Source organism: Homo sapiens, chromosome 5 (assembly GCF_000001405.40).
Source record: "Homo sapiens chromosome 5, GRCh38.p14 Primary Assembly".
NCBI lineage: Eukaryota > Metazoa > Chordata > Mammalia > Primates > Hominidae > Homo > Homo sapiens.
The window spans coordinates 100,596,301-100,619,005 of record NC_000005.10 but is presented as its reverse complement, the minus strand read 5'-3'; positions in this window follow the sequence as shown (position 1 = coordinate 100,619,005).

The following is a 22,705-nucleotide window of genomic DNA, read 5'->3' as shown; positions in this document are numbered from 1 at the left end:
AAATAAAATACACACACCCACACACAGATTTTCTGCCCTTTGTTTTAACATGGATATTAAGTGACTACAAACACAAAATGTTTGAGTTTGTAAACATAAGGTATCTGAAAATGACTAAAAAATCGATGATTAAATTAAATGTACGTAATACTGCAGAGTTATTGATTAAATGTTCCTTTGTCATTGCAGGATAAAATACTCTGAACATAATTTTAGCAAGAATTGCATCATAAAGAAATCCATCTAAGGGAAGTCATTTTGCATTACGCATCTATTTAAAAATATGTATAAACAAATATGCTTACTAATATGGTAAAGAAATTATAATGTGATACAACTTTTCTTTTTAGACAAAAGATGAATAAAAACAAGTAAATATACTAATTCATATTTTAACGTAGGTCTTGTCTTACATCCAGATTATATCTTAATCCAACTGGGAAACTGATAAGTCAACCAGAATTCTATTTATAGGAGGGCCTGGAAGCCACTCATCTTGTTTGTTCTGTCCCGCAATTTCCCTATGGTGTTAAGCTCAAGTAGCTTCATCTTGAAATGCATCTTAACTGCTTCTCATTATTTGAATCACCTTCTTAACTCCTAGCAAGGGTTTCCAAGCTTCCCAAATTAACTATTACACTCAAACCCCTGTCTTAGAATCAGTTTCTGGGGAAACCCAATCTAAGACACTTGGTACAAGAAATTCCCTAAAATTCTGATCTTTAGGATAGAGTTATAAAATAGCACAAATTGGTAAGATGGCAACAAGAATCCCATAGCTGATTGTAAGTTGGTTGAGGAAGGATATCACTGGCATGCTATAGTGTCATTATTGCTGTGGTGAATTGAGATGTGATATAGTTAAAAGAGAAAACACTGGTTTATGTAATATCTCCAGTATTCAGGCAAAATGAAGATAACAGTGATCTCAATGATTGCAGAATTAGATGGGTATTAAAGAATTACAGTGGCAAGTTCAACCTAGCCAATAGTCAAGTAAGGGCATGGTGTGAAAGCCAAAAGGCCTATAAAGAGATTCATAATCTACAGTGGGAAGGTAGATTAGGCAGAAAATCAAGCCCAAATTATTACAGTAATAGCATTACAAAGTAGTCTTAATCCAGGACTCAGCAAGCCTCCTAGACTAAATTCTGGGTCCTAGCATGGGATTAGTGAGACATTGAGACTTGGGAAGGATATCTTCTGTTCTATTCAACCCTCGGAACATGCAGAGCTGTCCCACACAATTTATAGAAGATTGTAGCATCTCTTTACATAGATAGCATGAAGAAAAGAACTCTGCAACCTCATGACAAGTGTGTTTTGCAATGATTTCCTCAAGGCATCCCTAAAGTGAACTAAGTTAATTTACATAAGTAACAGTACCCAAGCACTAGTACACTGAGCCAACAGGAATACAAAGTGTTTTTGAGGACAGTTCTATTCAGGATCTGAGCTGAAACTAATGTTGGAGTCTCAATGATTGCAGAAAAATGGAGTATCAATGATTGGAGTTTCAATAATTGCAGAGCATTGGAGCCTAAATAAGCATCATAGTTCTCCTATCCACATGACGGCAGACAGAGACTAAATAGTAAATGGAAAAATGGCATGAGTACAACTCATTGTAGATTTGATCTCCATGAATGCACCCTGTGGTCATTTTGTCAGATTCTGAGCACATAATTCAGGTATATACACTTAGCAGCTGCTGAACCCTTATTTTGTTTCCTGACTGTTGGATAAGGGCTGTAATTATAAGAAATGCCAAGAGAAAGACTATGAAGCCATCCTCTCACCTACTGAGATATTTTCACTTTCGGGTCTTGTGTCATTTTACTGGATTCCATAGATTTCTTGGATTGGGTTTTGCCCTTCTCCTGAATCTCGATGATCTTTGTTCGTATCTGGATTCTGAATTCTATCTCTGTCCTTCCAGCCATGTCACCCTTGTTAAGAATCATTCCTGGGGAACTATCCTGGTTATTTGGTGGTAGAAAGACTCTATAGTTTTTGAATTTCCAGAGTTTTTGCACTGATTCTTTCTCACCTTTGTGGGCTGATGTTCCTTTAATCTTTGAAACTGCTGTCGTTTGGATGAGTTTTTTGCTTTTATTTTCTTTGGTGCCCTTGTGGAATTGACTGTGGTATAATGTGGGTTCAGTCAACTGGCTTCATGTCTAGAAGATTTCAGGAGACCAAGGGTCAGTTCAGCACACTTGGGTTGCATGCTCTAACCCTGGGGGCTTGTACAGGTCCAGTTGCCTTGCTCTTTGACCCCTCGAGGTTAAGCACCTACCGCACTGGAGGGGCCAAGGTATTTTCAGTCCACTGGCCACAACACTCCCGAAAAGTATCCTTAATGCCTTAAAAAGACATATGTGTGTTCAAAAAGTGAGAGATAAAATCTAAAAATTCAGAAACCTATTATTGGTGAAGATTTTAGCTATCCGGTTGTTCGAGGAATGTCAGGACATCACCTCTGAAGTGTAAAGCGTGATATTGTACTGTGTACCTCCCGTCACTGAGAAAGAACACATCAGTTGACTCAAGAGATCCCAACTAACCACGTTCCTTTCACTTTAAGCTGGCAGACGCTGTTAAAATCTCTAAACATTGAGAAAAGAGAAAATAATTTTAAATTCTCAAATTAAAAATATTAAACTTAAATTTTAATTTAAATCTGTCAAAAGAGAATCTAGAAGGAAATTCTCAAAGATTCTTCAATCTTGCTGAATTTATTTCTCATAAATAATATAACCAGAGATCCTTCAATTCACAGGATAATTAAAAAGCTCCTTTATTCAGGAAAATAAATATGGAGAGATCATAAATTCGGGGCACTCACATAAGAGAGCAAACGTCCACAGAGTTTATTTAGCTGTAAAAGTCACAATGGTGGTCCTTAAATAATTTATGTGGCTGAGTGGTCACATAGGGAGCTGCAAATATGCCATTTACTATCCTTACTAAGGAAATGCATAGTTTCTCCATGAGAATCATTTGATTTCCTGTGAGAATTCTCTTTTTTTAATAACTTTGTGCTTTCTGCTTATGATAGTTTGATAAAATTCCTGTTTCTATAAGTTCTTATAAAACCAAATGCACACATTTACATGTGTAAATTCGTGACATCTCATTATTCAAAAGTTATTACTATTCCTTCTCCATGTATTTACAGAGTCTGATTAGCAAAAGCAAAAGACATGACAGAAAGAGTTTCTTTGTTATAGTTATCTGCCAAATGAAAGCAAATACTTGGCAATTCTAAATATATGTGGCAAAGAGAACAGGAGATAGGGATAATTCAAAGCATTTCCCTTAGGAATTTAGATATGGTGCTGCATGTAATAACATTTCAATTCTAAAGGTATGTGGAAAGGCTTCGCGGGTAGAAAAGTAATCCAAACCTATCAGTCTATGACATGCTTCAGAATGCAGAAGAATGACCTTTAAGTGTGTGTGTGGGTGGGTGTCTGTTTGTGGGTGTGTGTGTGTGTGTGTTTGTGTGTGTGCAGGCATACTTATGTATTGTGTGAGGAAGAATTCCTCTAGCAGTCTCTCCAGAACTGTTGTTTCTCCTGTGTAGATAGTAAGAAATTTTTTGAGCAATGTTTTAAAATGTCTGGACTCAATGGGTATAAGCAGACAGAAGAAAAGACACACTAATAATCTGAAAAGTCCACTTCTAAAAATATAAAGGTTTTATTTTTCAGAAAATTGAGGAGAATCGTTAAGCAACGTGCTAAATATTTAATGCCCAAGAATATGAATTAATTTGCTTAGCTGGTGGAATGTCTTTTGGTACACAAACAAGTTTTCAGTTCAGTGTTTCTCATTCTTGGGAAATTTATTCGTTTTTTTCTTCATGATATATTGATGCAATTCTGTGCCAGAAACTACACTAGAAATTGAGGATAGATAATGAAAGATGCAAAAAGCTCACCTATATAAAGTAAACATTTCTGTTCTGGTGGTGAGAGAGGAGACATACAATTAAATTAAATAAGTAAACACATAGGCCAAATTTAGACTGTAATTATGTACAGCAAATGAAATAAACAAGAGTGTTAGTAGGGAATAACTTGCCTGGGTGATTGTTAAAAATGCACAGGGGAGAACTCTGTGGAGAAGGGACGTTTAAGTTGACCCTAAAAGATAACCGGATCTGACTAGCTACGTGAAGAACCAGTGAGGAGTTCCTTTAGACTAAGTAATTTGCCCATGGCCAACTACTTCATTAGAATAAAGCCTAAACTCAAACTCAGGTTTTCTCACTACCAGATTACTGTGCTTGGCACAAATTTTTATACGTGTAATCACACCCTATTCAAAAGATTCCAATTTCTGTTCTTCCCCTTGTATCCATCACCTTTCAGTGTTGGAATGTTCCAGGACTTGATCTTTGACACTTCCCTTTTCCCCACCTATGCTACACAGTATGACCTTTGCAATCATGTTTCAGCTCATGCTTTAAATAATCACCTATAAACTGATGACTAAACATATCTTAAATGTATCTCTCTAGTCTGAATCTCTCTCAGATCTTCAGATTTATTTTCCTAATTGCTTACTTGATAATAGCAGTGTCTAACAGATACATCAGAATTAACATATCTTGAAGTGAAATACTGGTAGTCCTCCTCCAAACCGACTCCATTTTAAATGCAATTCCATCCTGCCATTTGCTAAATCAAAACAATTTGTAGTTATTCTGGATTCCTCTTTTTCTTTTATAAACTGTCTCCAATTCATGAGCAAATCTCGTTAGCTATACTTTCCAAATATGTCCAAAATATCTTACTTCATAACAAGGTAATTTCTTCAGATATATTTTCTAGTTTCCACTATATGTATTCTGTGATTTTAGTATATTGTTGATTTTCTACTTCTAATATTGTGTTCTTTTAATTTCCATCAATTGCATTTTTCATTCACATTTGCCTATACATTTCTAGTAATCATGTGTTTCTCCCTCATCTTTGTAATTGTCTATTTCTTCTTGTTAATCCTTTTGAAGGATCGTCTAATTCCTTATTATTAGTTCATTTACTAATATCTTATGCAAAGCCTCATAGATCCTCTAAAACAGTGATCCCCAACCTTTTTGGCACCCTGGACTGGTTTAGTGGAAGACATTTTTTCCATAAGGGAGAGGCAGGTATGGGGTGGTTTTGAGATGATTCAAGCATATTACATCTATTGTGCACTATATTTCTATTTTTATTATTAAATACATTGTAAATACAGCTCACCATAATGTAGAATCAGTGAGAGCTCTGAGCTTGTTTTCTTGCAACTGGACTGTCCCATCTGGGGTGATGGGAGACAGTGACAGATCATCAGGCATTAGATTCTCATAAAGAGCATGCAACCTGGATCCTTCACATGCCCAGTTCACAATAGGGCTCATGCTCCTGGAAGACTTTAATGCCTCTGCTGATATGATAGCAGACGGAAGCCAGGCAGTAATGCAAGCGATGGGAAGCTGCTGTAAATACAGATGATGAAGCTTCACTCTCCTGCCTGCCACTCATCTGCTGTGCAGCCCAACTTGGTTCCTAATGCCATGGACCAGTACTGGTCTGTGACCTGGGGGCTGGGGACCCCTGATGTAAACTACTCTTTGTTCAACCCTTAGTAGTACAAATATGATACTTTATTTTTACTGTTACTCATGTTGCCTTGAAAACTCCTGTGTTCTGTTATCTTTGAATGTGAGCTAGTTACTTTATTTTAATTTTTGGAAGTCCTGTGGGTGTAAATTGGGAAAACTTTCCTACAGAAACCCACCAGCTGCTTGTGGTAGCTGGTAAGTACCAGTTACATGGAGATTCTCTTTGGTCTTTTGCTTGTTTGTTTGTTTTCCCAGGTGAACATTCTCACTAAAGAGTCCCAGCCATAGTTCCTTCATCTTGATTTTGTCCCAACTATTCAGATAGTTTTTATAGTACTCATATTGATTTTGCCTTTACAGCCACCTGCATCTCTAGCACCAGTTCATGTTTTGTTGTTTGCTTACCTGTTTGAGGAGGTGTTATCCTTGGAGACCACTGCTACTTCATATGAGACCAGCATTGCCTCAAAAAGTGTGTCATGTTTATGATCTAGTTGTTTAAAGTTATAAGGTCTTTTATACCACCAATCTAGTGTAATACTGGACAAGGGGGAAAATGGCGTTTCTTATATTTTAGTTTTATTTTCCAAAATCTGTATTAAAAGTATGCTATAATTATTAATTTTTTTTCCCTTAAGTAATTATCTCAGGTTTTACCTTATTTTTTCTAGGCTATGCTTTCAGGTACATATAAGTATATGATTGATATTATATAATTAAGTAAACTCCTTATATTCTATTCAATTATTTTGCCTTAAATTACATTTTTTAGATAATGCTACTCTTCTTTTGAATCTTTGTCTAATGAATCTTTTTTCATCCTTTTATTTTCAGCCACTTTGTATTGTTTTACAATGGGTGAATTTTTAATAGAGTTATATTTTTACAATTTCAATTTCAGAGTTTCTTATAAAAGACAAGTTTATTATCTTCCTTATTGTGAATATTAATATTAATGTGTATTTCATCCTTTTGCAATTTTGTTTGTATTCCATGCTGCCTTTGATACATTGTTTTCTTTTTACCTTTTGTTGAATTCATAAGCTCCTCCTTTTCCCCATTACTCATAATTAAGTTATACATTCTATTTTTAACCTTATTGATCAGCCTTAAATACAAAACAGACTTATTTACTTTCAAAGTTTTCTGAAAAATTTCAAAGCCAGTACAGAAATATATTTTGCCTTCTCTCCCAACTGTTTATTCTTCCTTCTTCTTCTAAACTTATTTGTATTAAACAACATGGTTTATCAATTAATTTTTTAATCATTTCTTCCTGCTTTCCACTCTGTTCTTCTGGATTCATTTTATTTCTTATTGAAATGTATCCTTTAATAATTTTTCCCTTAAACTACTCACATCTATGAAACTCTTAATCATGTTTTGCCTATACATGTATTTATTTTATTTCTACTTTTGAATAAAAGATGAGCTTAATAGAAAATTCTAGGTTGCACAATTAGAAACAGCAAAGGGGATGATATCACTAACGCCAGAGAAACATTTCTCTGGACACAAATTAGAAAATCTAGAAGAAATTGATAAATTCTTGAACACCTTACCTAGACTTAAACAGGAAAAGTTGAATTTCTGAACAAACCAATAACAAACTCCGAAATTGAATCAGTAATAAATAGCTTACCAACCAAAAAATCTCAGGACCAGATGGATTCACACCCAAATTCTACAAAATTTACAAAGAAAAGCTGATACCATTCCCACTAAAACTATTCCAAAAATTTGAGGAGGAGGGACTCTTCTCCAACTCATTCTATGAGACCAGCATCATCCTAATACCAAAGCCTGACAGATAGACAGACAAACACACACACACACACACACACACACACACACACACACAAAAGAAAACTTCAGGTCAATATTTTTGATGAATATAGTTGCAGAAATCCTCAACAAAAATACTAGCAAACAGAATTGACCAGCACATCAAAAAGCTAATCCAGCAGAATCAGTAGGCTTTATCTCTAAAAGCAAGGTTGGTTCAACACACACAAATCAATAAACGTGATTCATCATATAAGTAGAACTGAAAACAAAAACCACATGATTATTTTGATAGATGCAAGAAAGACTTTCAATAAAATTCAACATATTTTTATGTTTAAAACATTTCAATAAACTAGGTATTGAAGGAGCATACCTGGAAATAATAAGAGTCATCTATGAAAAACTCACAGCAAACATCATACTTCATGTGCAAAAGCTATAAGCATTCCCTTTGAAAACCAGCCCAAGACATGGATGCCATCTCTCACTATTCCTATTCACCATAGTATTGCAAGTCCTGGCCAGAGGAATCAGGCAAGAGAAAGAAAAAAAGTCATTCTAAATAGGAAGAGAAGAAGCCAACGTATGTCTGTTTGCAGACAACATCATCCTATACCTAGAAAACCGTAAAGTCTCAGCCCCACAGCTCTTAGAGCTGATAAACAACATCAGCAAAGTTTCAGGATACAAAATCATTGTACAAAAATCACTAGCGTTCCTGTATACCAATTACAGCCAAACCGACAGCCGAGTCAGGAATACAATCTCATTTAAAATTGCCACAAAAAGAATAAAATACCTAAGAATAGAGATAACCAGGGAGGTGAAAACCGATACAATGAGAATTACAAAACACTGCTCAACAAATCAGAGGACACAAACAAATGGAAAAACATTCCATGCTCATGAATAGGAAGAATTAATACTGTTAAATTGCCATGCTGCCCAAATTTACAGATTCAATGCTATTCCTATTAAACTACCAATGACATTCTTCACAAAACTAGAAAAAAAATATTTAAAATTATATGAAACCAAAAAGGAGACTGAATAGCCAAGGCAATCCTAAACAAAAAGAACGAAGCTGGAGGCATCACATCACCAGACTTCAAACTGTACTAAAGAGCTACGGTAAACAAAATAGCATGGTACTCGTACAAAAACATGCACAATGGAACAGAATAGAGAGGCTAAAAATAAGGCTGTATACCTATGACCATCTGATCTTCAACAAAGCTGAAAAACAAGCAATGGGGAAGGAACATCTTATTCAATAGATGGTCCTGGGATAACTACCTAGCCATATGCAGAAGATTGAAACTGGACCTCTTTCTTATACTACATAAAAAAATCAACCAAGATTAATGGAAGACTTAAATGTTAAACCCAAAACTATGAAAACTCTTTAAGATAAACTAGGAAATTTCATTCTTGACATAGGATCTGACAAAGATTTCATGATAAAGATATCAAAAGCAATTGTAGCACAAGCTGAACTTGACAAATGGAACCTAATTAAACTTAAGAGCTTCTGCACAGGAAAAGAAACTATTAACAGAGTAAACAGACAACCTACAGAGTGGGAGAAAATATTTACAAACTCTTCATCTGACAGAGGCTTAATAACCAGAATCTGTAAGGAGCTTAAACAAGTTAACAAGCAAAAATCATGCAAGGCCGTTAAAAAGTGGGCAAAGTACGTGAACAGACACTTTTCAAAAGAAGACATACATGAAGCCAACAAGCATATGAAAAGAAGATAAACATCACTAGTCATTAGAAAACTGCGAATAGAAACCACAATGAGATATCATCACCACCAGTCAGAATAGCTATTATCAAAAAGTCAAAGAATAACAGATACTGGTTGTTGATAAAAAGGAATGCTTATACGTTATTTTTGTGACTGTAAATTAGTTCAACCGTTATAGAAAGCAGTGTGGCAATTCCTTAAAGAGCTAAAAACAGAACTACAATTCGACCCAGCAATCCCAGTAATCGGTATAAATCCAAAGGAATATAAATTGTTCTGCCATAAAGACACATACACAAGTTTGTTCATTGCAGCAGTCCTCACAATAGTAGAGACATGGAACCAACCTAACTGCCCATCAGTGGTAGGATAAAGAAAATGTGTTACATATACACCATGGAATACTACGCAGCCATAAAGGAATGAGATTATGTTCTTGGCAGGAACATGGATGGAGCTGGAGGTCATTATCCTTAGCAAACTAACATAAGGACAGAAAACCAAATACTCCATCTTCTCACTTATAAGCAGGAACTAAATGATGAGAACACATGGGCATAAAAAGGGGAACAACAGACATGGGGGCCTATTTGAGGGTGAGTGTGGGAGGAGGGAGAGGGTCAGAAAAAGAAAACTATTGGGTACTAAGTTTAATACCGGGGTGATGAAATAATCTTTACACTACACTGCCATGATATGAGTTTATCTATGTACAAAACCTGCACATATATCACTGACCCTAAAATCAAGGTTAAAAAGAAAAGAAAATTCTAGGTTGCAATCAATTCCTTCTTTTTTTGTTTTGTTTTGTTTTTCTGAAACATAGTCTCACTCTGTTGCCCAGGCTGGGGTGCAGTGGCGTGATCTTGGCTCACTGCAGTCTCTGACTCCTGGGTTCAAGCAATTCTTGTGCCTCAGTCACATGAATAGCTGGAAATACAGGCATGTGCCACCACACCAGGCTAATTTTTGCATTTTTTAGTAGAGATGGGGTTTCTCCATGTTGGTTAAGCTGGTCTCGAACCCCTGACCTCCATGATCTGCCCTCCTCAGCCTCCCAAAGTGCTGGGATTACAGGTGTGAGCCACCATGCCCAGCCAATTCCATCTTAAGAAATGGAAAACAGAATGTTATTGTCTTCTGACATTTTTTATTATTGATAAGTTCTGCTATAATTAGGTATTCTTTTGTCAGTAACCACTATTTTTTCTTTATTAGAATAAACCTGCTTAATATCAAAGACAAATAAATTCCAAACTATCAAAGAAAAAATAGTGGCTTTTGTTTGATGAGAGGAGTAAGCCCTGTCATAAAGGATACAGACTCTTTCATGAAGCTTTTCTGGGCATTTTTCAGATAAAGCTTTGGCTAAGTTTCCAGTCTTCTTCAATTAGAATAATTTTTTCCTGAAAAATTAATATGGTCTGCTGTCACTAGCTTCATTTTCAGTATCAACTTGTCCCTTCTGAAAATGAGTTTTCTGTTTCTAAATTGCTGATTTTTTTAGCATTGTCCCCATAAATTTTTTAGAAAGCATCTATGATTGATTTCACTATTCTTTCACTCAAACTTCACCATAAATTTGATGTTTCTTCTTGCTTCAATTTTAACAGAATTCATATTGCTCTAATAAGAACTCTTTCAAATTGATGTCTTATTCTTTGTATCGCCTCAACAAGATCCTGCTTAGACATGTTATAATAATTTAGTAAAAGTTTATTTTGATGCAAACATTTTTTGAAGTTTATCCATAGTTTTTTCATAATATATATTTTCCATGAACTTTTTGAGGATTTCTCTTGCTATATTTTTAATTCAAATATTGTAATTGGTTAATTTTTATATTAACTTTTCATTGATCAATAATTACATGTTTTTATTCCATAACTTCTTTGATTTTGAGACTCCTAGATGTCCACTAACAGACTTTAAGCAAAAGCAACATGTGTCATTTCCAGCAATGGCCCATAAATTTTCCATCCATGCTTTCCCTTGCTCTTCCCCTTTTCTCTGGCTTTTAAAATGGTAACAGCAACCTCTGAGCCCATCTACTAAAGATAAAAAAACCATCCATAGGTCTAGGTCCCTGACCAAATATATATGTCAAAGCCAACACCAAACTAAAATTCTCATCCTCTACCTTTATGTGAGAAAGAAATAACCTTTTTTTCCTTTAACTTAGTAAATCTTAGCTTGAAAACTCATCTTGCACTGGAGTATTTCTCTTTTCCTCAAGATCATCCCTTCCTGTTTAGAATTCTGTGAAATAATTCTCAGCCCAGACCCAAGGATCCACAGCTCAGAAATAGGTTATCCAGAAGTGTTCCTAACACTAGATGACAGTATCCCAGTCTCCAAACCAGCTTATTACTTGGCCAGAATTCAAGTTGTACTGTGGTTTTTATTCTCTCCACCACTTACAAGTAGTTTACTTTTCCAGCAAGTGAGCAAAACTTTACCAACTATATTCATGTAGCTAGCCTAGCTTTATGACCCAAGCAGGAGCAATACGAGGTCCCTGTTCATATGCATAGGTTGAAATTCCACATTCAACTCTTGCTTCTGAGCCCAGCAACTCATGGGGCACATGGCTTTATTTCCTGGTGTAACTTCCCAAATAATTATTGTTCATGTATTTTTTAACACTGTGATACTGTTTATTTCATGAACTGTTTCTATGTATTTGTAGAAGTGAGAGCAGATATTCTTGTGTATTTAACCTAACATCATGACTTCTAATAATTTTACAGTAAGCTCTGTGCACACATATATGCAAAAGAATATTTATTTTAGCACTCTTGAAGGGGTGGCCTGCCCCTCCACACCTGTGGGTATTTCTAGTCGGGTGGGATGAGAGACTGAGAAAAGAAATAAGACACAGAGACAAAGTATAGAGAAACAACAGTGGGCCCAGGGGACCGGCGCTCAGCATACCAAGGACCTGCACCGGCACCAGACTCTGAGTTCCCTCAGTTTTTATTGATTGTTATTTTCATTATTTTAGCAAAAAGGAATGTAGTAGGAGAGCAGGGTAATAATAAGGAGAAGGTCAACAAAAAACATGTGAGCAAAAGAATCTATATCATAATTAAGTTCAAAGGAAAGTACTATGCCTGGACGTGCACATAGGCCAGATTTATGTTTCCACCCAAACATCTCAGCGGAGTAAAGAATAACAAAGCAGCATTACTGCAAACATGTCTCGCCTCCCACCATAGGGTGGTTTTTCTCCTATCTCAGAATTGAACAAATGTACAATCGGGTTTTATACTGAGACATTCAGTTCCCAGGGGCAGACAGGAGACAGTGGCCTTCCTCTATCTCAACTGCAAGAGGCTTTCCTTTTTTACTAATCCACCTCAGCAGAGACCCTTTATGGGTGTCAGGCTAGGGGATGGTCAGGTCTTTCTCATCCTACGAGGCCACATTTCAGACTATCACATGGGGAGAAACCTTGGACAATAAACTGCTTTCAAGGGCAGAGGTCCCTGCGGCTTTCCGCAGTGCATTGTGCCCCTGGTTTACTGAGACTAGAGAATGGCAATGACTTTTACCAAGTATACTGCTTGTAAACATTTTGTTAACAGGGCACATCCTGCACAGCCCCAGATCCCTTAAACCTTGATTTTATACAACACATGTTTTTGTGAGCTCCAAGTTGGTTCAAAGTGGCTGGGGCAAAGCCACAAATTAACAACATCTCAGCAAGGCAATTGTTTAAAGTACAGGTCTTTTTCAAAATGGAGTCTCTTATGTCTTTGCCTTCTACATAGACACAGTCAGTCTGATCTCTCTTTCTTTTCCCTACACTCCTTATAAAAATTACAAATCAGAAATGAAATAAATCATTGGCAATAACAGTTTGCTTAAATAAATTACACTATTCCATAGAAGAGAATACTGTGGAGTTAGTAAAAATAATTATGTTAAAGATACTGACAAAACATATGTTAATTTTAAAACTTAAAAAATAGCTGTTTCTGCTACATGTCATATATATTTATGTATTTGTAAGCTTTTGTATGTATATATGCATACATACACAAGTGATATGCAGTTGTTTTACATTTTTGTGCTCTTAAATTGCAGTTTCCAAAATTTATATAATAAAAACTTTTAATCTCAGAAAACAGGATAAAATGTGAATTTTCTTTCTTTTTTCTTTTTTTTTTTTTTTAGACAGAATCTCACTCTGTCACCAGGCTGGAGTGCAGTGGCGCAATCTTGGCTCACTACAACCTCCGCCTCCCTGGTTTAAGTGATTCTCCTGCTTCAGCCTCCCAAGTAGCTGGGACTACAGGCATGCACCACCACGCCAAGCTAATTTTTGGATTTTTAGTAGAGATGGGGTTTCACCATGTTGGCCAGGCTGGTCTTGAATTCCTGACCTCGTGATCCTCCCTCCTTGGCCTCCCCAAATCCCAGCACTTTGGGATGGGGTGAGCCACTGCGCCTGGCCAAAATATGAATTTTCAGTGGTAAAGCCAGACTTTCACAGTGAAAATAGAGTTGGTAATAACTAGCAATATACTTAAAAACACATGATTAAGATATTGTTTAGCTTATGATCTGTTCATTCTACCGTTTCCGGCAAAAACAAACAAACAAACTAAACCAATACATATGCTTACTTACAACACTCCAGGACTCAAATCTAGGATACTGATCCTGCTGCTTCATCTGGCATATATGTGACAAACAGATGGATCTCCCATTATGCCCCAAGAGCCAAAAAATGTGGGCTCTTACAAGCAAAGCAGTAAATTACTTGCCAACTTCTTCACAGTTTCATTAATGACCTGATAGATATTAATAAGTAAATCAATGCAATATATAAATTATACTAAGTTGGTGGTAGTATGAAAAATTCAATGACTATAAAAGAAAGTAACAAATTGTTCAATGAACCACAGAAGGAAATTTGCCAATATAAACATGCATTCCTTGGAAAACTCTAAGGGAAATAATAAATGAGAGTGGTGGAAAGAAGTATCAGGAAATAATTAATTTGGAATCATTAGAAGATTATTTTTGGTCTCGTGTATGTTTAGAAGAAAATTAATATAAAGAATTGTGTTTTGATCTATGTCTCAAAGAGACATTTTGAAACATGATCTAAAGGGTAATTTTATACAACTAAAGAAAATACTAGATTAGATTTATTTTAAAGCACTATATATAATCTAAGCTCCTTAAGGTCTGAGCAAACAATTCTCATTTTTATTTTCTAATGTGTCAGGCTAGTGCTCTCCATGTAGTATGTAATCACTAAGTCATTGACACATTAAATAAAATTTATTGAAGTTTCCAGAAGTAAAAAATAGTAAAAACAATGATATGAATGTGAAAAATAATAAGCTTTAATTCAGAAAACCTAACTTTATTGGATATAAATATTTTGTTCTCTAATTAGTATTTGTCTTATAGAAACTACCCTTTAAAATTGTTCAGATTTTACAAGATTTATCTTTGTTTCGATTTTTCCTATGCCATGTACTTATTCATTCCCATTTTTAGTTTAAGAACTGGGACTAGCACACCAGTCAGAATGGCAATTATTAAAAGGTCAAGAAACAATAGATGCTGGTGAGTCTGTGGAGAAATATGAATGCTCTTACAATGTTGTTGGGAAAGTAAATTAGTTCAACCATTGTGGAAGACAGTGTGGCAATTCCTCAAGGATTTATAACCAGAAATACCATTTGACTCAGCAATCCCATTACTGATTATATACCCAAAGGAACATAAACCATTCTATTATAAAGACACATGCACATGTATGTTTATTGCAGCACTATTTACAATAGCAAAGACATTGAGCCAACCCAAATGACCACCAATGATAGACTGGATAAAGAAAATGTGGTATATATACACCATGGAATACTGTGCAGCTATAAAAAGGAATGAGATTAGGTCCTTTGCAGGCACATGGATGAAGCTGGAAGCCATCATTCTCAACAAACTAACACGGGGACAGAAAACCAAACACCACATGTTCCTACTTATAAGTAGGAATTGAATAATGAGAACACATGTACACAGGGAGGGGAACATCACACACCAGGGCCTATTGAGGAGTGAGGGCTGAGGGGAGAGAACCTAGATGACAGGTCAATAGGTGCAGCAAACTACCATGGCACACATATACCTGTGTAACAAACCTGCACATTCAGCCCATGAATCCTGGAACTAAAAGTAAAACAAACAAACGAAAAGAACTGGGAGTAGAAGTGAATTTTCTTCTCAAAGTGAAGAATTTTCAAAACTAAAAGTTCATAAATAAGGTGCATTAGCACATTGGCATAGAATTTAACTTATGAACCCAATAAGTGGCCTACTCTATAAGGCTGATGTATCCCTATGCTTTGGAGGCAAAAATAGCTTTAAGCTTTTCAGATGGAGAGAAAAAAGGAAAAAAAAAGCAAGCATCCCAGTAGAGGGCAGCTATGTTTATGAACCCTGATGCTCGGCCAATAGATATTTTTGCATAAAATGGGGCCTGCTATCGATGGAAACATAAACCTAAATCATGTTTGTCAGCCAACTTTGATGGTGAGACACAGCTGTAATGTAGAATCTGACTCTAACAACAGCCTTGGCAGCTTTTTATGTTGCTTCAGCTAGTATACATAAGTATTCACTCTGCAAGGGACAATACTAAGAACCAAAGGCATGCAGCTAGGGCACAAAGATGAAATAAAGAAATGAAGAGATAACAAAATGTGGATCCTCACCATGGAACACAACTTATTAAAAGTCCCTTCATGATATGTGTCACATCAAATATCATGCTTTATTATTCCTAATTCTTGTAATTAATAAAGAATTTTTGATAATGGCATTCTTTTTTAAAGGCAATACATTGGTATCAAACTACAAAATAAGTTACTTAAGTACAAGGTGATTTCTTTATATGTCATATTTGTTTATGTTTTCATAAGATAAACATTTTGCATACAGCCTACATATTATATGCTTTGTATCTTATTTATAATGTTCTCCCATGACTATCTATTTCATACTATTATAACCTGAGCTGCCTCTAAAATCTTAATAAACTACACTTTTGTAGTTATCTAACCCTTTAATAGTTGAAACTGTGTCCACAACCACTTTTTATAATCCATAGAAAAAACAAATAATCATGGGCCCTATAATTCACTTTTTAAAACCACATTCCATCAAAACACAATACATGTTAGAAGATTAACTAGAATTTATTTTTATTATTTATTTATTTTTAATTTCCACTTCTATTTTAGATAGGGTAGTACATCTGCAGGTTTGTTACATGGGTAAATTACATGATGTGGAGGTTTGGGGTATGGATCCTGTTACCCACATAGTGAGCACAGTAACCAATAGGTAGTGTGTCAACCCATGCTCCCTCCCTCCCCACCCATTAGTCCCCATTATTACTGTCTTTATGTTAATGTCCACTGAATGCTTAGCTCCCACTTATTTAGAATCTATAAAAATCTTACACAAATCAACGAGCAAAAAACAAACTACCACATTAAAATATAGGCATACACTTCTTAAAAGTGTATGAAATAATCAAAGAACAGGCACTTTTTTTTTTTTTGAGACGGAGTTTCGCTCTTGTTGCCCAGGCTGGAGTGCAATGGCGCGATCTTGGCTCACCACAACCCTCCACTTGAATTCTAGACACCCATCACTCATGCTTTCTAGAGGACTTTGATTTCTTCTCTGAGTCTAATTTCTCCACTTGCATTTATGGAAAAAAATAAGTATTTTCTATATTTTCCCTCTATCATGTCAAAAGCAATCTTCAACTTACCTTTATCTGGCTTATGTCCCCAATCATTAATTGATACTAATCTAGTAAGGCCACTGATAACCTTCATATTTCTAAACTCAATATATAGTTTTGTTTCATGTTATTGAAATTTTCTGCCATCTCTGATACAGTTGACCACTCTATCTTTCCTAAAAAATGTTCCTTTCTCAGCCATGATATCACTACTCTTATGCTTTTCCTATTTCAGTAGTAATTTAAACAAATTCTTCTGTGTATCTTCCTCCACTATACCCTTTGAAAACTGAAGTTTCTCAGAGCTCAGTCTGGGTCCTCTATTCTTCCAAATCTGCGTACATTCCCTAGGTAACCGGTGACCTCATTCATTCTCATAACTTTTTCCCCCTAAATCACAGGCTGCTCACACAGACACATACATACAGTTTTTCTTCCTGCAATTTGTAACCTGCTTAGTCAAAAACATATAATAAAGAATTATTCACAATCTCTGGATAATGAGGTTCCTCAAAAAAGATCTTATAATTTCTCTTTTCTACAACTAAATCTATACAATCTCCCTAGGTTATTTCATTTTTTACCCATGATCAATATTGTCATCATCTTGATAATGCACGTTAAAAAAAACTCTAGTCAAGAGCCATGGATTTAAATACTATTGCATTTTGACAATATTCAAATGCATATTTCAGTACCTCTGAGTTCTTGACCCATCCACAACTGTCTACTTCATATCCTCGCTTGGCCATCTCATCAGAATCTCTTTTTTTGGCAGCAGGGGTAGGGGGACAGGGTCTCGCTCTGTTGCCCAGGCTGGAATGCAGTGTTGCAATTTTGGCTCACTGCAATCTCCACCTCCCTGCAACCTTTGCCTCCCAGTATCCAGCGATCCTTCTGCCTCAGCTTTCTAAGTAGCTGGGACCACAGACACGCGTGACAACGACCGGCTAATTTTACTTTCTTCTAAGAGACTGGGTTTTGCCATGTTGCCCTGGCTGGTCTTGAACTCCTGGACTCAAGCATCCTGGACTCAAGCAATCCGCCCACTTTGACCTACCAAAATGCTGGGATTACAGGTGTGAATCACCGCACCCAGCCAAAATCTTACATTTAACATGATTAAAGTGAAAATCTGGAAATTCAGAAAATATTTATCTCAAACCTAATCAAACAATCATCCCTGTTCAGTTGGGGATACTACAACTGACCTAACTACTGAAGTAAAACTACTGGCAGTCATTTTGACTCCTCCCTTTTCTTTGTCTTTCCCACACAATCTATTAATAGGCCCAGTTGGTTGGTTGTATGTCAAAATTGTATCAGGTATCATTCACTTAAATCCATTTCATGTGTCACCATCCTAGTCCCATACATCACCTACATATTTCAAAAACCTCCTACCTCGTTTTTCCAATTTTCTCCACTTACTTCAGTCTATTATATATATATATCAGTCAAAGCCAAAGGAATCCTTTTCAACCCAAATTAGGTTATACAATTACCCTACCCTAGATCTTTCCACAGCTTCCTCTTCCCATTTCAGTTATAATGAAACCCAAACTTTTTGCCACGCCTTTATAACCCTGCATAATCTGGCCCACGTTGCCTTTCTGGTTTTGCACCAGACTTCCTTCAATAGCTCACTAAACCCCAGGCACCCTCGTGTTCTCTAAGTTTCTGTATTAGTTCAAATTACTTCCCATCTAGGGAATATTGAGATTGCAATTCCTTGGAATGCTTTCTCACTGATTTTTTTACATGTCTGTCTCTTCTTATTCCCGCAGGTCTCATTTTAAATGTGCCCTCTTTGAGAAGCATTTTTTGAATTTTATGTTAAGTAGCTTAACCTGACCCATCAAAACTTTTCAAGCATAACAACCCAGTATTTTTTTCAAAGTACTTATCATAATCTAAGGATTCTACCCACATTTGTACACTGCTTTATTTTCTGTCTTCCTTACTAGAATAGAAGCTCCATGTGTTTGGAGGTTTTGTCAGTCTTTCCCCTCTGTGTGAATGACTAGCACATAGAAGGTGCTTAACAAAAGGTTGTGGAATTAGCAATTAAGTATTAAGACTCACTTAGCTTATCTATGATCCAAAGAGAAACATGAAGTGATACACGTTTTAGAAAAAGGCTCTTATAGCTCTCCCTGAATAACTTGAGATAGCACCTCTCCTTCAATACCCCGAGTTACTCTTATTTCTAGCTCTTAACTTCTCATGCTACCTTTCAATATTCTAATACTCAGGATTATTTATATTTATTTAAACTATGTCTTATCCTAAAAAGAAATTTCAAAATATCTGAGGTACCTTTACAAAATAAATACCAAGAAAATTTCACATTGAGAAAAATCAAAGTTAGGAGATTGCCTCAAAGAGGAAATAATATATCAATAACTATCACTCAGTGAGAATTTACTTCATATAGGTATTACACTAATAACTACTCATGCTATCTTTTATTATCCTTCCATTCAGCTTATAATATGGGCGATTTATCCAAGTGTTTCAAAATAGGGATACTTAGGTTTATAAAAATTAAGTAATACTGAAAGCTATACAGCTAATGAAGTATGGATATCCCTGAAGTCTGTGTGCTGAACCTATTATGCTGTATTTGTCACTATGTTATGCTGTTTTTCAACAAGGGGAGAACATCCAATGAAGCCATATATGGCAAATGCTACATATCCACTTATTCAACATCCATTCCTGCATCTTTTTTAGCTTGTCTTTCTGTAAAGTAGAGGCTGAAAAGCTAAAAACAGCAATCCCTAGACTGCTTTGTAATATCAAACAGAAGTTTGATGGAGCAAAATGAGGCAGCCTCTGGCAGGGAGACTTGATCCTCTGGCATGTTTAATCACAGAGATCTATTTTTCAGGGGCAGCTATAGCAGTTCTGTTATCCAGTTTCTAATGTCACAAGTGTTAAGCGACGAGTGTGGCAGAAGTGATGTGTCCCTTTAGAAAATGTTGTCCCTGGCCAATCTAGGGCTGTTATGAGATTGCTCATAACAGTTGCTACTTAAATTAGCTAGAATGCATTGTTGTTGCACTAAGTACCTCAATTGATTTAGTAATTGTTACTAGAAATATGTTTGGTACAAGTAACAGAAACTATATTGCAGTTTAATGGAGAAAGTGGAGAGATGAAAATTCCGGTTTTGGAAACCACACACAAGAAAGCTGAACGCACTTTATATACAATGGAATATATTTGGATTCAATTGTCACTTGATATACTTTGTAAGGCAAACTATACACTGACTGAAGCTATACTATTTAAAAGAGTAGGGACTGATTAGAATATTGGCTAGTGCCGGCTCTCATTGCCACCATTAGGAAAATTCTACAAGAGCAAGATGGACCCAAGTGAGAAGTAAATAGCCTGCAAGCACAGATGGAGGGAAATGCCACTTAGATAAGGAAGCACTCTCTGCCCACAGCCTGACATTTATATTGCCAGAGAATCCTATAATTTGAAGACTTAGAAAAAGAAAGAATAAAAGCAATTTTAATACTTTACATAGAAGCCATTGCAAGGATAGCAAAGCAACAAACTTAGCAAGAGAAACTCATAGGCAGCCAGGCAAATGGAGTTCATCTAAAGGCAAAAATGAGAGTAAGGGTTTAGCCTCTTCCCAGGTATATTATTTTTCAATTATCCCAAGTCAATGAACATAAAGGCCCAGTCAATAACAGGAATATTCAATGTCAAAAATTTTGACTAGATAAGATCTTTAGCTATAGTTACTCCTACAGGATACTGACTAGATACAAGTAATCTACGAATGCTCTAACAGAACTGTATAGTGACCACACACCCTGTCTGGACTGCAAACTTTCATGACTATCATTGCTCCACTAAAAAATTTACCAAAGAATTACTACACTCTTCCAACACACAACCACAGGCAGTAGTTTCTGAGAGCTGTACAGGAGCTCTTCAGGCTTTTGAAGTATCAGATCTGTACAACATCTCAGAGGGCAGAGCCAGGGAACACAGAAACTGAATGAAGGAGTAAAATACTGCCTGACCAAGAGCTTACACTGCTCTTGGTTCAGGGAGTCCTTGTCATTCCTGATCAGTAAGATTTGAGAGATGCGAGATCAGTAACCTCTCTGTATTTGCTTAATCCCATCTTTTCCTGGATTAAATTTCTCAAAATAGCTGATCTATTTCTTCTCAAATATTGTACATGTTTTGGGGACAGATGCTTTGTCTTTTAGGTAATACAATGCCAGACAAGCAGGAATTGCTAGTTGTTCTATTGTTGAGATTACATATCACCAAGATCACACACTTTGGACTCTGAGTTGGATGGCATAACTAGAAGAGAGTTTGAGATATCTCTAGTGGAAAAGAGGTAATTATGTTACACCATTTAAAAGAAGAATGTTTAAAGAACGTTAAGTGTTAGGTAGCCAATGTATGAACTACAGAATATTTTGTTAGATTCCTATCAAATATCCATATTCATCTTTCTCTTTAAGGGACCTCCTCGTTTATTTTTTGTGAGGGTTGACAATGAACACAAATACACACACATACACACACAACCATATTTTCCAGTACTTTGCTGCTCGCTTTCTGAAATAGGAAACAATTCTGGTCAATGAGAAAAGATTAAACTGTGCTGAGGATTTCTGGGAAAATTTTGCTTTAGTGCATTAAATAATCTCTGACAATAACTCACCATAAATTGCCTCCCTTTCTTTATATAAATATTCCATCGTATATCATGAGCTGAAGTTTTATTTCTCTTTTCTTGAATCTGAGAAGGCTTTAGTGACTGATTTGGCTATTGGAATATAGCAGAAGTTACATTCAGGAACTCGTGAGACTAGGTCTCATAAAACCTTTCAGTGGCAAAAGGTTTATTGATAACACACTGCAGTAATTTAGTAAACAGAAAATGGTCCTAATGAATTCTATATCAGGATAAGGAGGTTTCCGGGCAGAGTGTTGAAAGTGCCAGTTGGTTTCTGTTAGATGCATAACATTAGGTACTCACGGAGAGAATGACATTTTTAGAAAGATAATATTCAGTGTTTTATAGAAAAATTGAGAGGAAAAAAGATTTAAGACTTACTGTGTTCAAAAATAAAATTATTTATCATCCCTAGTTTCTCCAAGTAGCAAAATTTTTCTCCAAATAAGAAATAGCCTCAGAGTAAAACTCAGTCCCAAGGTGTTTTCAGTAACACATGACATCAGGGTAGAGTTAACTTCAATAGAGCAATTACAGGACCCTTTATTGACACCTCAGAAACATTTATGGCAGGGCTGCAATCAGAAAAAGGCATCTGTGAATATGAAGGAGTATTATAAAGACTCTTTCAACTAGATAACAGGACTCCTAGGAATCTTAAGGCTGGGAACCCACGGTATCAAGACTCTAATCCTACAGTGAAGAGGAATCTATCTGACGAAAAATAAACTGTGGGGCTGACATTTGTCTAATGGTGTGAACCTCAATAAGACTGAATTAAAAGTCATAGAGGCAGTTCAGAATTTTTTTCAAAAGAGTCATTGGGGACTCAAACTTTTTCTAGGAGGAAGTAGGCTGAGAAAGATATTTAGCGGCAAACACAGGCGATTGCTAATGGAAAAGAAAGAAGTGTAGGGCACAAAGTCTGGTGCCTAGAAGGCAGAGCCAAGTGACATAGAGGCACATTATCTGGGGCAGGACTGGGCCCCAGTCAAGGAACTGGTGGCATGTGCTCAGTTAAACTTCAGAACTGCCATCGATGAGTGA